The sequence below is a fragment of the Homo sapiens genome, chromosome 1 (assembly GCF_000001405.40).
Source record: "Homo sapiens chromosome 1, GRCh38.p14 Primary Assembly".
NCBI classification, from domain to species: Eukaryota; Metazoa; Chordata; class Mammalia; order Primates; family Hominidae; genus Homo; species Homo sapiens.
Genome location: NC_000001.11, coordinates 180,790,250 through 180,806,969, shown reverse-complemented (window position 1 = coordinate 180,806,969; position 16,720 = coordinate 180,790,250). Strand labels below are relative to the sequence as shown.

The following is a 16,720-nucleotide window of genomic DNA, read 5'->3' as shown; positions in this document are numbered from 1 at the left end:
CTTGTTTTATGACACAGAAGATATCACTTAATAAATTTTCTTTTTTTATAACTACTGTGTAGATATCATTTAATAAATGCTTTTTTGGAGTAAGCTATATAGCAATCCAGTATATCTGAACCCACCAGATCATTTTTTTTAAATCACATCTTAATCATTTGATGATACCAGTAAGTTAACATGTCAGTAAGAATAAACAAGAAAGTACAGTATGAGAAGAGAAAGGTGGAAGACATTATAATTCAGAATGAAGTAAAATATAGCATATAATGTTTAAAAAACTAAAATAAGAAAAATAGCAACTACTTATAAACTTTGGCTGAAAATTTTTTTAAGATAATGGGGCCAGCTAAATACTGTGTTGATTATTAAATAGGTGAAACCAAACAAACTACTGGAACCAAATACTAACCTGAGCAGCTCCCAAAGGGGGGACACGTAAACGCTTCATAGCCTTTTGTCTGTCACCATCTTCAAGTTCATTGGTCACTACAGCCTAGAAAGACAAATTATTACATTTTGGTTAGGTTATACTAAACTTGAGTGATGCACAAATAATTCTGTACCATTTATATATATTATATTCTGACAACTTTTTGGTGAATATATACTGATAAAGAAAATGAAAAAAAATCACAGGTAAGGCATATATATTCAAAGCTAGCAACTAGTTACAAAATAACAGAAATAAGGAATTGCTTCCCTAAATATAAAACGTGTAACTGAAAATACGTTGTAAATAAACGAGATTATTGTACCTCAGTTTCAGAGATAAGCTGGTTGATTTTCTTGCATGTATAAAATGGGGCCACCTCTACGTGAGCCACTCGCCAATCTGCTCCACGAGATGTTTCCAGGATCTTGTCATGCTTTTTCAGGATTTTTCGAAACCCTGTAAAATTCAGATTCTACAGAAAGAAATGAGAAACACAACTATAATTTCTACTACCATCAAAAATGATGAAAAAGAATAAGCACTAAGCACTGACAGAGCTGGCTGGACAAAGATTAAGTACTCTAGGAAATGGCAAAGCTTTCATAAAAGCATCTACTACTAAAAGGATGACTCTTCTTTTTTATTCCTTTTATTCATTTCAAGGTAGTATGCTATTAGTAACACAAAGAAACCCTGAACTATGAACCCTATTATTTCTCTTTCAAGTAAATTAATGAAAGTCCTAAGCTCAAAATGTTTTTGTTTCCTGTTTTCTATGTATAATTATTTTCAAAATAGCTAATTTCTATTATTTTGCTGCTTTGGTCAAAAGAATTATTTTCAGAAAATGTTTTGCATTTGCCCATGCACTGAACACATTTATTTAGTTCTTTATTTTTGGAAGGACTGGTACAGGAGTATGTATCTCCCCCTGCCATGCAATCATGCATGTTCCAGTAAGGAAAATGGAAGATCATCTAGTGCTCTTAACTTTCATTTTCCTTTCACTCATTCTCAGTTTGGGTATGGGAGTGCTAAGAAGAGTAAGTAGAAAGGAGGAAGTGATCATACTTACAGGGTTCAGTTTATAATGGGTAGAAGTCCCTATTTTTCCTCAATTTCTACAATAACAAAATACTATACATTTCAACATCTCAAATTGTTGTTCTTTGCCCAGCATGCAAAAAAGCTAAAAACTCAATTTGCAAGGTTACATCTTTAAACCAGAGGTCTCCCAAATTTGCTGATTACATGTCCCCAACAGTAAGAAATTGTGCACTCACTCCAGAACAGGCTTTCCTTACTTATTTGTTTACATATTTTTCCCTCATGCTTTAATGTATGATCTTAAAGTCTGTGTGGGGTGCATACATACATCATGACTTAGAGATAGCTTTTAATCAATCTTCCTTTCTCCTTCATTCTCAAAATAAATGTATTCTTACAGAATAGATGACCCCCAAAGAATAGAAGATAAAGCAGAACTTTCATAATTAATTATTACTTTTGTTTTCCCAAGGAGCATTTTATAATGACTCCGAACAAAAGCTGCTAGGAAAGTTAATACAATAAAATTTAACAAAGATTTTTCCATGTAACACACAAACATAATTTATGAACTATAAAATGGTAATGTTGCTATACCATTATAGGAAAGAGGAAATACATTTTATTTTTGTTTTTTAAATTATAAAGCGATGAACAAATCTCAAAGCAAAGGAATTTATCACTATATAAATATATGTAATTATTTTTCTACTAAATTGTTTTCTTACTAGGTTTGTCTTCAAATGATAGAATATTAAATCACTAAAGAACAAAGTAGAATTATAGAAGAAAATGATAAACACATGCATTAACAATTTAAGATTACTGCAGATATGGGACTTTAACTACTTTTTATTTTAAAATTCTAATATTCCAGGTAATACTTTTGTTACATAATCTTTAGTTTTAATATGGTATATCATCCTATGATGATCCTAACCACTCATTATAAGTAATAATCACAAGAATAAAATAGAAAAAAAATAGTGCATAAGGTCTCTCTAAAGATTAGATAGATGCTTTTCTCAATAACTTTTAAAAAATATGATTTTATTGCAGCCCATGGACAGTAAAATTGGAAAGATTCTTTCAGCTGCAAGTTGAAAAGTCAGGGTCTTTGTTTTATTAGTGTCAGCTGCAGAAAAATTAACTATCTGATAGCTTTTGTAGAAATTTTGCTATTGGTTAGGAGGACTATAAAAGCCCTTACAGGCTGGGAGCATTGGCTCACGCCTGTAATCCCAGCACTCGGGAGGCTGAGGCAGGCAGCTCACTGAGCTGAAGACCAGCCTGGCCAACATGGTAAAACCCCATCTCTACTAAAAATACAAAAATTAGCTGGGGATGGTGGCGTGCGCCTGTAATCCCAGCTACTCAGGAGGCCGAGGTAGGAGAATTGCTTGAACCCAGGAGGCGGAGGTTGCAGTGAGCCGAGATCGTGTCATTTTACTCCAGCCTGGGTGACACAGTGAGACTCTGTTTCAAAAAAGAAAAAAAAAAAAGAAAGGAAAAAAAAGAAAAGCCCTTACATAGCCAACAGTGGCTGGAGAGATGTATTATTTCTATTCATGACTATCAGAGCTGCCTCTAAAAACAGGAAGCAAACTGTTAGTCCTTGAGTTGTGGACTATCCCTAAATATTAAATATTATAGGAAAGTTTTTGGAATATGAATCTTCAAAAACAGAAGTCTTGTTAACACAGTTTTACTGCCTCTGACACATGGTTTTTAGCCAGTAGGAACCCCAAGAATAACAACATGTTAAGGATTTTCCTTTTTGGAACTGACCCACTGGTAATACTTTAGGGTACTTCCATTTATTGAAATTTCTCATTTACTTAAAGGTGCCATTTTCTAGGGTAAGAATCTAAGTACCTGATAGTTCTGCAGCAGGATTAGACTGAGGTAGAACTCACTGAAGGCCAGTTTAAGGTCTTTAATATTTCTATGTTGGACACGTTCCTCATGGGACAAGTGGAAGACTGGCTTTCTGCGTTGTCGCAGCGTAGTAACACCAGTGCTTTCTTTCTGTGCATCCAGTGATGACTGAAGCTCATTCTGAAGTGTAGCAAACCTGCGCTGAGCCTCTGCGAGCTTCTCTATAAGAAATAGAACGGAACTGTCAAATCAGTAAGATAAAAAAGTTCCTACTGACTTCTGAATTTTTAATAATTCCCATTTGCTCCCTTAGAATTTCTAGAAGAAAACCGTTACATGTAATATTTAGAACTCTATAGGAAAAAATATTTTTGTGTAACACTCTCCTTTCATTTTACCCCCCATAAAACCTCATGTACCCTTTCTTTTTACAAATGAATAAATAAAATGTAAAGAGCCACTAAGAGTGAAAACGCAAAATGGTACAGCCTCTCTGGTATTTGGAAAATAGCTGGCAGTTCTCGAAAGGTTAAACATATGATTCAGCAATTCCATTCCTAGGCATATACTTAAGAGAGCTGAAAACATATGCTCACAGGAAAACTTGCATACATATACTAACTTGCATTTATAATAGCCAGAAAGTGGAAACAATCCAAATGTCCATCAATTGAGGAACAAATAAACAAAATGTGGTGTGCATGCATGTGTGTCTATATAAACACACAATAGAATCAGCCACTAAAAAAGAATGAAGTGCTAATTCATGCTCTGACATGGATGAACCTTGAAGACATTAAGTGAAAGAAACCAGACACAAAATACCCAATATTGTATGTTTCCATTTATATGACATGTCCAGAATCAGGAAATCCACACAGAAAGAAAGTAGATTACTGCTTGCCATGGGCTGAGTGGAAGGTGAATGGGGAGTGATTGCTAATGGGTACGAGATATGTCTTTAGGATGATGAAAATGTTCCAGAATTGGTAGTGATGGTTGTACAACCTTGTGAATACACTAAAAACCATGGAATTACAAACCTTAAGAAGGCAAATTTTATGGTATAGAAATATCTCAATTTAAAAACGCCATTAAGAAATGTTTCTGGTTATACAGTTCAGGTCAGAAACAGGATTAGAATTTGGGCTTTAGATCTGTAATCTCCTGTATTTCCCACTACCCTTCATTACTTCTCTAAACCAGGTATTACAAGAGATTAAGACTTGCAAATTATGTGTTAAAAATACTAGGTATATCTGAATATATGTGTTTGTGCTACACATACATTTAAAAATAATACTCTGTATTTTTCTTCCAAGGTCACAATTCAGTTCACTGGAACCAGGCAGATTTGGGTTCAAATCCTTGCCTCATTAACTAGCTGTATGATTTTAGTCAAGTTTTTTTTTTTTAATAACTCTTCTACACCTTTCATAGATGAAATGGAAATACCAACTCCCTCATAAAGTGGTTGTAAAGATTAAATGAGGCATAGAAATGCCAAGGGACCGGCTGGGTGCAATGGCTCATGCTTGTAATCCCAGCACTTTGGGAGGCTGAGGCAGGTGGATCACCTGAGGTCAGGATTTCGAGACCAGCCTGGCCAACATGGTGAAACCCTGTCTCTACTAAAAATACAAAATTAGCCGGGCGTGGTGGTGCATTCCTGTAATCCCAGCTACTTGGGAGGCTGAGGCAAGAGAATTGCTTGAATTCGGGAGGCAGAGGTTGCAGTGAGCAGAGGCTGCAGTGAGCCGAGATTGTGCCACTGCACTCCAGCCTGGGTGACAGAGTGAGACACTGTCTCAAAAAAAAAAAAATGCCAAGGGACATAGCACTCAATAAATAATGATAAAAATTATATAATAATAACAAAGAATTATTTACAACTTATGCTTTCTCATAATTCTCCTATTCCTTGCTTTATCTACTGCTATACTGTCTTGCTGTTGTCTTCAATCAATCTTTAGTATTTTTGTCCTGTCTGGCACTGCTTAATGATTCACTCTCTCTTTCTCCTAGAGAATTTCCTTCTATAGGATGTTTCCAAGATTCATCTCTATTCTTAATCCTTTACATGACCTTCATTTTCTTAACTTTTATAATCTATTTATATCTTCTTGTATTTCCTATGATCTAAGACTGTATTCAAAACAAAAATCATGTTTCCATTCCTCTTTCCAAATAAATTTCATCCATTTATGTGGGTCAACCCATCTGGGACCTGCTTTTAGCTCCTAGGGACCACTCTTACGCCTCTCCAACACCAATCACATCCCCCTGAGGGGGCCCAGAAAATACTCCCTTCATTAAGGCATCCAGAATTACGTTAGTGAGGAGAGCACCTGCATCCTTAAAAAGCTCTATGTTTACTCCCCAGTGAAGGCCAGGAATGGCCATGAGAGATGTATCTATTGAGATGGGTTCCCTGATTGCAATGCACATTCAATGATCCTTGGAACAGAAAGGCCAGATGGCAGCACTTAACTATCAAAACAAGGTGGGTGCATTTACCATAAAAGGCAACAGGACAGATGTTTTTGCACACAGAGATTTTGGCTGTGGTTAATTGATCATGGTTATCCCTAGGAAAGACAGAAATGGGCAACCTACTAGAATATTGCTTAATTGATGTAACAGAAAAAAACTCCAGGTCTGGTGGCCAAATACTTGATATTAGTCACTACAACAGAGAGTCACTACCTCTTACCAGCTTCCAGATCAACGCTAGTTCAAAAACCCAAGACCCCTGACTGAAGTGGAAGCTGGCCTTGCTTTCGGGTGGTTCCTGTAGCACTGCCACAAGTATATACTGTAGATCTTCCTCTAATCCTTCCTCAAAGGGCCTCGTGTCTATTTACTAGAGTGACTGTGCACTGAGGAAAAGGAAATATCCAGACTTTGCAAAGATTACTCGTCATTGGCTTTTGTATATTAGCTTTGCATTGTTGTATAACAAATTACCACACACATAGTGCCTTAAAGAAACCCCATTTATTAGCTCACCGTTTTGTAGGTTAGAAGTCCAAGCATGATGTGGCTAGGTTCTCTGTCAGGCTCTCCTAAGGCTAAACGCAAGGTGTTAGCTAGGCTGCTTTCTCAAGCTCACATTCAAGCTCACTTGGTTGTGGCAGAATTCAGTTTTTTGTAGTTTTAAGACTGTTTCCTTGCTGGCTCTCATCTGTGGTCTGCTTTTAGCTCTTCGAGACTACTCTTAACCCTATCTTCAAAGTCAGCAATGGAGAAACTTGCTCATTTCAAGTCCCTCTCATACTTTGAATCTTTTTCCCTAGGAGTGACAAACTTCTGGAGACTCCAGGCACCACTGTGGTTTAGCAATCAAACTATACATTTATGATATTCAGGTGACAGATGAAATATCAGCCCAGATGAGACTCACAAAAGACCCAGCTGGTCCACAGATTCATCCTATGATTCCTTTTTCAGTTCCAAGATGTATAATTGGAATAGACCTACTAGGCCACTGGTAGACTCTCTAGTGATTCTGAACCACAGGTAAGAAATATGATGAAGGAAGGAACATGATGAAGAAAGGGCTATAACAGTTCCTGGAACTTTTCCTTATCAAGATAGAACTGCAGAAATTAGTACAACAATCACAGACTTTAAAGACAAAGGGATAGGATACCTACCACATCCTCTCTTAACTCATTTGTTTACGCAAGTTGGATGAATCTTGGTGAATAACTGGATTGTGTAAACTAGGTGGTCTCTGTGATAGCAGCTGCTATTCCGGATATGGTATTTTCACTGAGGAAAATCAATACAACCTCTAGCCCCTGGCATGCAGCTACACATCTGATAATGCAGCTACTCACCAGGCAGCAGAGACTAGCACTGAACCCCAGAGTCACCCCTGGGACTGGCCAGCTACCTACTGGCAGGTTGATTGTGTTGGATGCCTTCTATTAGGCAGTGGGCAGAGATTTGTCCTCCCTGGAATAAAAGCATTCTTGATATGGATGTACCTTCTCCACCCATAATGCTTCTCCAGCACCACCATCTCCTGAAATGCTTTATCCACTATCATGGTATTCTATACAGCCTTGCTTCTGATCAAGGAACTCATTTCACAGCAAAGACAGTAAAGCAATGGGCTCATAGCCATGGAAGAAAATGGTCTTTTACTATATACCCAGAAATAGATGGCCTAATAGAAAAGCTGATCAATGGCCTAACAGAAAAGTTGGGAGACAAGACTCTGAAAGGATGGGGTTCTGTTTTACAGGATACAATAATGAGGCCATAAGTCCCCAACATAACCAAAATATCCAGTCTAGGAATCAAGGGGTAGAAGTAGGAGTGGTTCCTCTCAATACTGTAAGTAATAATCCACTCACATAATTTTTGCTTCCCAATCTACAACTTAAACTCTGACTGTTGGTTAGTTCTCAAGGGGAAAATGCTTCCATCAGAGGAATACAACAATGGTTCTACTGAATTGGAAGATGAAACTGTCACCTGGCCATTTTGGGTTCTTTGTACTAATGAAACAATGGCAAAGAAGGGGTTTACTGGCTAAAAGTAAACCCCTTGACTGATCCTGATTACCAAGGGAAAAGTGAACTGCTGAAACATAATAGGAGCAACAAGCTCTGGAACCCAGGAGATTCTGGAACACCTCCCATTACTTCCATGACCAATAATATATGTTAATGGAAAACTACAACAGGCCGGGCATGGTGGCTCACACCTGTAATCCCAACACTCTGGGAGGCTGAGGCAGGTGGATCACTTGAGGCCAGTAGTTGGAGAACAGCCTGACCAACATGGTAAAATCAGATCTCTACCAAGATTACAAAAATTAGCAGGGTGTGGTGCTGCACGCCTGTGATTCCAGGTGCTCAGAAGGCTGAGGCATGAGATTCACTTGAACTCAGGAGGTGGAGGTTGCAGTGAGCCGAGATTGTGCCACCACACACTCCAGCCTGGGTGACAGAGTGAGACTGTGTCTCAAAAACAAAAACAAAAAAACCCTACAGCAATTAATAAAAGAACTACTGAGATTCAGATCCTCTAGGAATTAAAGTCTAGGTCATCTCACCTAATAACCAGTTGGGGTTCTGGCTGAGGGCAAAGGAAATATGGAACGGGTCTTGGGAAAATAAAGATACCAATTATAACCCCTTGACCTTTTTACTTTGTCTCTTACAACTCTCATATTTTCTTCTCTTTATCGATTTGTGTTGCATTCTGAGTAAATTTTCAGCTCTATCTTCCAGTTTATAAATTGTCCCTTTAAGTCTACCTAAATCTACAGTTTGATTGATCTATTAAGATACTAACTTCCGTGATTATATTTTCATTTGTAAAAGATCTAATTGGTCCTTTAAAAAAAATGCCTAGTCAATTTTAATGATTTCTTCTTTGTTTATGGTTTTCATGCTCTCCTTTACATTTTTAATCATATTAGATATATATTTTTATTATTTTCCTGATAATTTTGTATTTTTTATGTATCACTTTAGTGTTTTGAAGTAAGAGATTATTAGGATTTCTTTCCAGTCTTCCATATTGTAAAAAACAGAACAATTCATATATTTTAAAATCTCTTATTTAAGTCAACAGAAAATGAATCTCAGGGCTCCTTTTACACATGTTAAACATTTCTATTGTAAATGTGTTTGTCTTATCATCCTTAGGATCAAAACAGTATAGAACTTCTTGGTTCTTTCTTGGTTCATGATGCCCTTAGCGTTTCAGTAATATTTTCATGATGCTTCTAGGCCAAAAGAAATAACTAATGCTTCTATTTATTAAGTAATCAGGTTCAAACAACTTAAGTATTTATGTCCTAATGACTTAGAAGCTACCTGAAAAAATACTACATACAATATGCACACAAACATAAAATGAAATAATACAAGGATTTATCTAAGGGCCACTATAAATTATTCTGCTGACTAAAAACTGCAGGTAAACTAGCCAGAAAACAGAATATCATATGTAATAAAATTGCTTAACTTTAATTGTTAAAAGATTAGTATATAAATTTGCTAATTGTTTAATGTCCTCAGTCAGAACTGTCAATACATTTACTCTTCTCATTACATGCATATTAAAAATGTAAGAAGCCCAAAAATGAAAAGAAAGAGGACCTGTTACTTCCTGTGTGCCAACAATAAGTCAAGACACAAATGCCTCTCCATCTGGAAAACTCCTTACTCGTTTTGCAAGGCTAATCTCAAACACTGCTTTCTATATAAAGTTTTTCATATTTAACAACTCTCTCAGTCACAAATGAAACTCCCACCTTAGGGCTTGTATGGGACCACATACATGCAGCCAAAGCACACTGCATATAATTCTTTGTTTATGTTTGCTTCACTGACTGACTGAACTCTAAAGGTAACAGTTCTAAAATCTTTATCTTTTTTTATAATGAAAATTTATTTTAAATAATTTGTTTGAGGTATAACTTACCTACCATAGGATTCATCTACTGTAAACATGCAATTCATTGACTTTCAGTAAATTTATAGAGTTGTGCAATCATCATAAAAATCCAATTTTAGAACATTTCTGTCACCTCCTATACTTCCATCATGGCCATTAGCTGTCAATCCCCACTTCCACCCCCTACCCCAGGCAAACACTGATCTGTATTCTGTCTCTGCTGATTTGCCTTTTCTGAACATTTCATGTAAAAGAATCATACAATATATAATCTTTTGTGTTTGGGTTCTTTAACTTAGCAGGATGATTTTGAGTTTCATCCATTTTGTATCATAATGTAAGTCTGTTATACTGAGTTCCTTTTATTGCCAAATAGTATTTCATTCTGTGGATATATATTTTGTTTACACTTGATCTTAGCCAAAAGGCCGAGAAGCGATTATATTTTGTTTAAATATCTTCAGTCTGCAGACATTTGAATTGTTTCTAGTTTTTTAAACTATGTAAATAATGCTGCTGTTAACACTCTCATACAAGTTTTTGCGTGGCCTATCATCATTATCTTTGTACCATAAAGAGCTTGCATACAGTATACTCAATCCATGTTTGCTGAATGAATAAATAGGTAAAAGTTCTCTCTAGTAGCCTACATTCCCATATAGAAATGATGAAGAAATCAACATTTCAGGTGTATTTTGCTACTTTCTTTAAAGTAATGACTCTCTTCCTTAAGGGCATAACTATGTAGAGGAGCCTATGAGAATCCGTAGGTGGGGGTAGGGGAATATAAACCATATGTAGTTTGAAAAAATCATATTCAATATTACTACAGCTATGGTATGAGATTTTCATATCTATCAAAGGGGTATAGGTTTAAAAAGAATAAGAAATACTGCTTTTGACACCAAGTATCCCAATCTATTTTGCAATGACACTTCAGTTTTCTAGAGCCAGATCGCCAGAAAGCTCAAACACATGGGACTGCACAGAACCTGGAAAAGTGTGTGTGTGTGTATATATAAAAGTGTATACTTTGATCTATGATGAAAATCTACAAATACACTTACAAAAATAAAAATGAGGCCAGGCGCAGTCGCTCACGCCTGTAATCCCAGCACTTTTGGAGGCCGAGGTGAGTGGATCACGAGGTCAGGAGGTTTAAGACCAGCCTAGTCAAGATGGTGAAACCTCGTCTCTACTAAAAATACAAAAAAATTAGCCAGGTGTGCTGGTGGGCACCTGTAATCTCAGCTACTCAGGAGGCTGAGGCAGAAAATTGCTTGAACCTGGGAGGCAGAGGTTGCAGTGAGCTGAGATCGCACCACCACATTCCAGCCTGGGTGACAAAGCAAGACTCCGTCTCAAAATAAATAAATAAATAAGTGAATGAGTGAATGAATGAATCTCAGGGCTCTTTTTACATATGTTAAACATTTCTATTGCAAATGTGTCTGTCTTATCCTCAAGACCAAAAACAGTGTAGAACTTCTAAGTTCTTTCTTGGTTCACGGCATACTTTGTGTCTCAGTAATACTTTCATGATGCTTCTAGGACAAAAGAAATACCTAATGTTTCTATTTATTAAGTAGTCAGGTTCAAACAACTTAAGTATTTATGTCCTAACAACTTAGAAGCTATCTGAAAAAATATTACACACAGTATTTCTAAGCAATTTTATAATATTGATGAAAACAGACTATTTTGCCAATAAACTACAATTTCTACTTATGCCAGTAAATCAAGTGACCTGAATATGAGAACAAATATTATTATTTTAATAATATGTTAACGCCATAAGCTCTCATACTAAATATTTGATAAAAATTTCCAATAACCATTCAAGAATTTTCAAAGCACCTATGTATCCCTCAAAGAGCTAGAATAAGGGTTAGCAATATATTTTGCTTTCACCAAATTCATCGTTCTTTTACTTTTAGAAAAAGTTATTTCAAGAACTACAAGCTATCTTCAGAATGGCAAAGCTGTTATGTTGTTATGCAATTGAAGAATAACTCTTTCTAAAATCAAATTAGTGTCTTAGAATATTTTTATTATTTGTTTACCTGTCTTACAATATTACCATCTTGCTAATTCAATTTATGGACCTTGGTGTTATTCAAAATATAAAGTAAGTTTATGAGAATGTTGACCCATCACAGATGATTCAAGATAGTTAACTTTGTTACATTACATGCATTTTTTATACTGCTTTTATCTTTTATCTGGAATTCTTACTACTTGAAACTGTGTACCTCAAATACCAAAGTCTGAAATCTGTATGTGAATAAAACATCTAATTTTTCCACTTTTCTCTCTAACCAGCAACTCACTCCTTAATATCTTACAACTTCAGCCTCAAAAGACTATTTGTTATTGTCTTCATCCCCAAATATGTCATGTACTTTAACACCACTGTGCATCTGGATAGATTTTTTCCCTTGCTCTGGAGCACTAAATCCCACCTCTCCCTACAGCCATCCCCAAACAACCTCCCTTAAGAGCATTTGGCTAATGCCTACACATTTTCAAAGACCCAATTTAAATTTCACTTCTTCTAAAGGCTTTTCCTCAATCCCACTTTCTTCCTCCAAGTAAATTCAAGGCTTCTTCATGTCAGTTTTCACAGTACTTTGCATAACTGTAAAATACTAAATGTCATATTGCACATAAACTTTAAAAAGTACATGTAATTTGTAAATACACACAACAGGTGTATTTAGTAAATAACACTGTGATACTTTCTATTCTACTATATTCTATCTATATTTTTTAAAAAATGCCTGTGATGACCCACGTACAGTCGTAGTGCCACAGAACAACGTTCTGGTCAACGACTGACAGCATGTACAACAGTAGTCCCATAAGATATAATACTTTATTTTTACTGTACCTTTTCTATATTTAGATACATAAATATTTACCATTGTTTTACAATTGCCTACAGTATTCTCTGTAGTAACATGCTGGACAGTTTTGTAGCCTAGGAGCAACAGGCTATACTATATATGCTACATGTGTAATAGGATATACCATCTAGGTTTGTGTAAGTACACATGATGTTCCCAAAATGAAATCACCTCATGACGCATTTCTCAGAATTATCCCTGTCATTAAGTGACACGTAACTATATTTTCATTTTCTGACCAATTTATTGGGTTGTGACCTACAATTTAAAAAAAACCCATTATTTACATGATATTGTGTTTGTTTGTGAAGATGCCATTTGGAAATTGTGTTACTCATGACCATAGACATTCCTCATCCTTTCTTTCAGTCTCAGAAAGAAAAAAGGAAAAATAGGAGAGAGACAGAAGGAAGGAAGGAAAGAGAAAAAAAGGAGAGAAAGAAAATGAGGGTGGTTTTCACGTGGCTTGTTTTTAATAGATGCTTATAAAACACTTTTTTTTAACAAAATAAAGAAAGGAAAATTTATTGTGGACAATATAAATATTGTAATTGTAATTTCCTTCAGATGTATTAACAACAAAGCAAGCAAGAGTGGCTGCTTTAATTTCACTTCCCCTACTACCCTCCCTGCTCCTTTAAACAGTTCTTAAGTAACTGATTCTACTGTAATGAACTCAAGAGAATCATGACACAGGAAGATACGTTAACACATGGGAATTTAAAACAATATACCAACCTATGACCACTCTCATTAAAAATACCTACTTAATCTACATTTTAACACACACATGAGCAAAGAACAAAACCAGCCATTAAGTCATAGTTTAAATACATGCATACTAGACACATGTATCATTTGTAAAATGAACATTTACTATTTCAGTGTAAAAGATTCTCATGATTCATTGCACACATTTAGTGGTATAACAATATTCAGTGCCTCAAATTCCTCTTGTATAAAAACAATATAAATCAATAATAAAAACATACAGCAAGACATTGTAAAACAGGATTACAGGAATAACAGGAATAACTATATAATAAGAATAGCTCTTAGTAACTATTATCTAATCGGTCTTGCATTTATATGAAACAAGAAAATATTCTACAGGCAAGATCCTACTAATAAAACACCAATGCAATTACCTTCCTTCTTCCCTCTCTCCCTCCTTTCCTTCCTTTTTAGTAAAGAAAAAGGATGTAACACTGCTATGACTTCCCAATGTAACCGAAGTCAAAAAAGTCACCCAGAAAAAAAAGAAGTTATTCAAAAACAAAGAAAAAGCACTTAGCTATTTCAAAATTCCAGCCAATAAAAAAGGCTTGACTGTTTTGTGAAATATTAGAAGCAACACATATATTCTGACTTTTTTTTTAACATTAGGCAAATAAACACTGTTTAGAAACTAAGTATTTTGAATAAAGAGAAAAGGCAAACTGGTTTGAAAAAAGTGATCAGTTGGATCACTTGTCCACTGGAAAAAGACATTACTGATCACCACAAAAAAAAAGGTTTCTAACGGTATAGCCTTCATGATTGATACCATTTTTAGTGACAGAAGAGAACTAAGAGACTTCTAGGTTAGGGATTAGCAATGTTTTTACCACAAAGGACCCCTCCCTTTCACAATTCCCTTCTCTTCCTATGATCTTCAAATACTGATTTTATCTATAAATCTAAATAAATGTCAATTTTTTAACCAAAGATACATAATAAACAATAAAGACTAACAAAGTAACTTACATCAGGTTTTCTGAATATTGAAAATAGCTTCTGATCCTAACATGTGGAACCCTAGAGGGTTGGGAATCAATCTGTTTGTTTTATAAGCAAGTGTGTGGAAGCCTAGGAAGGTTAAACAGTAAATAGCATCGGCAAGAAAAAAATTCCAAATTTTAGCAGCATTCATGCTATATTTTGATTGTTTGGCCTTTTTGATATGACTAGAAACAGACAAAATAAAATATAGCAATTTGTTTAGGGACATTGAAAGGTTTTAGTCAAAAATATCTCACTTAAAAATGGAGCATTTTTAGCTATTTAATGTGTGAGATATAAGTGGGTGGAGGTGAGTTATTAAGCTCAACTCACCCCATATTGTTTATAGTTTTTCTTGTGCCCTAGTGTCTGACAACTGCAGTCTACAATCTTCTGGGGAGAAGGTGGCTAAATGAGGGAAAAAAGATACTGTTGAGGACCAGAAACAAATTCTATTTCTGTGAATCATTTCTTCGTATTACCTACCACTTCCTGATCTGGCAGGAGTCACTCTAGAGACTACCAATTTGTACCAGTGAGGACATCAAGAGACGTGCCTCACTGGCCCTGCCAATACACACACAAAACAGGAAGTCATCAAATTACAGCACCAAAATTTTTAATAGTAGCTAGCCTAAAATTATTTTTGAGAAGCGACCTAACTTAAAGAAATCATGTTTCAAACTGAAGGTTGCAACCCAATATGAGGTCATAAAACCAATTTAGTGGATCATAATTAGCATTTAAAAAATCAAATAGAATAGAAAAATATAGAAAACAATATACTACAAGTACTAAAGATGTACTGTTTCATGAAAAAATATCTTAAATTATTTAAATATATTGTGTAGTCACACACATATAGATGCATACAAACATATATAAAACAAACATTTATCTGTATATGTGTGCTGGGTCATAATGTACATTTTTTTTTACTATAACTCAAAATAAAGTATCTACATGTCTGTAATCCAAGCACTTTGGGAGACCAAGGTGGGTGAATCACCTGAGGTCAGGAGTTCGAGACCACCCTGGCCAACATGGTGAAACCCCATCTCTACCAAAAATAAAAATAAAAAATTAGCCAGGTGTGGTGGTGCATGCCTGTAGTACCAGCTATGCTGGAGGCTGAGGCAGGAGGATCACTTGAACCTGGGAGGCAGAGGTTGCAGTGAGCCGAGATCATGACACTGCACTCCAGCCTGGACAACAGAGTGAGATCCTGTCTCAAAAACAAACAAACAAAAAAAACAAAGTATCTACTACCAAGAGTAGATATTTTTCTTCATAAACAAAGAAGCATTTTCTATTCTTTGTGATACAAATCATCCATTTAGAATTGAGCTTAGAGATCCTTCTTTTTCAAAAAATGTCATAGTAAAAGAAAAAAGCTAATAAACTTGATTTTATATATTCATAGTCTACAGCCTTACATCATTTCCAATACGCTTTCTCAATCTAGACATTTGTTTCACTGCAAATGCCCTCCTCTTTTAGTTTCCTCCTCCTCCTCCTGCTATATGGTCTTCTCTGTCTACATTGCTGGTTCCTCTTTATCTTTCTATCTCCTAATTATAGAAATTATCTTTCTTCTTGAGAACACTGAAATCCTTTCTGTATATTTTTCCCATACAGAAAATCTACCTGTTTGCATGGCTTTAAATAATATTTATATTTTGGCTGTGCACAGTGGCTCACACCTGCAATCCCAGCACTTTGGGAGGCTGAGGCAGGCGGATCACGAGGTCAGGAGATCAAGACCACCCTGGTTAACACGGTGAAACCCCGTCTCTACTAAAAATATAAAAAAAATTAGCTGGGCATGGTGGTGGGTGCCTGTAGTCCCAGCTACTCGGGAGGCTGAGGCAGGAGAATGACGTGAACCCGGGAGGCAGAGTTTGCAGTGAGCCAAGATCGCACCACTGCACTCCAGCCTGGGCGACAGAGTGAGACTCCGTCTCAAAAAAAAGAAAATGTATATTTTGTCTCTGTCTTCTAGGTGCCTGTATCCTGGTGAAAGAGACATGCATATATGCCATGTTCTTTCATGGCTCTTGCTTGTATATAAACTGTTCCCTCTGCCTAAGGAAAAAGCCCAGCTACAAATGAAAGATGAGGGGGAGGATATAAAGTTAAGAAATTTGCTTGCTCATTTTTTTTTTGAAGGGAATGACTTGCTAAGGAGATTGAATTGGTATAAAGGGAAGTTAAATATATTTATTTAATAATTCTTAGAGGAAATAATTACTGGAGCAAGGTCTTGAAGAGT

At 35.8% G+C, this 16,720-nt stretch overlaps 1 protein-coding gene across 4 annotated transcripts in view; it reads right to left on the bottom strand.

Annotated features, from left to right (window-relative positions):
• The window catches only part of XPR1 (xenotropic and polytropic retrovirus receptor 1), a 258,258-nt gene that overhangs the window by 83,310 nt on the left and 158,228 nt on the right, over positions 1-16,720 (bottom strand). For all 4 annotated transcript variants that reach the window (NR_137330.2, NM_004736.4, NM_001135669.2 and 1 more), the window contains exons 4-6: positions 3,359-3,582; positions 759-908; positions 413-496 (exon numbers count right to left, since the gene is read on the bottom strand). Coding sequence is in view for 3 of the 4 variants with exons in the window: in NM_004736.4 (NP_004727.2) it covers positions 413-496; positions 759-908; positions 3,359-3,582 (458 nt within the window). In the remaining variant the exon portion in view is untranslated. The remainder of the gene's footprint in view (positions 1-412; positions 497-758; positions 909-3,358; positions 3,583-16,720) is intronic.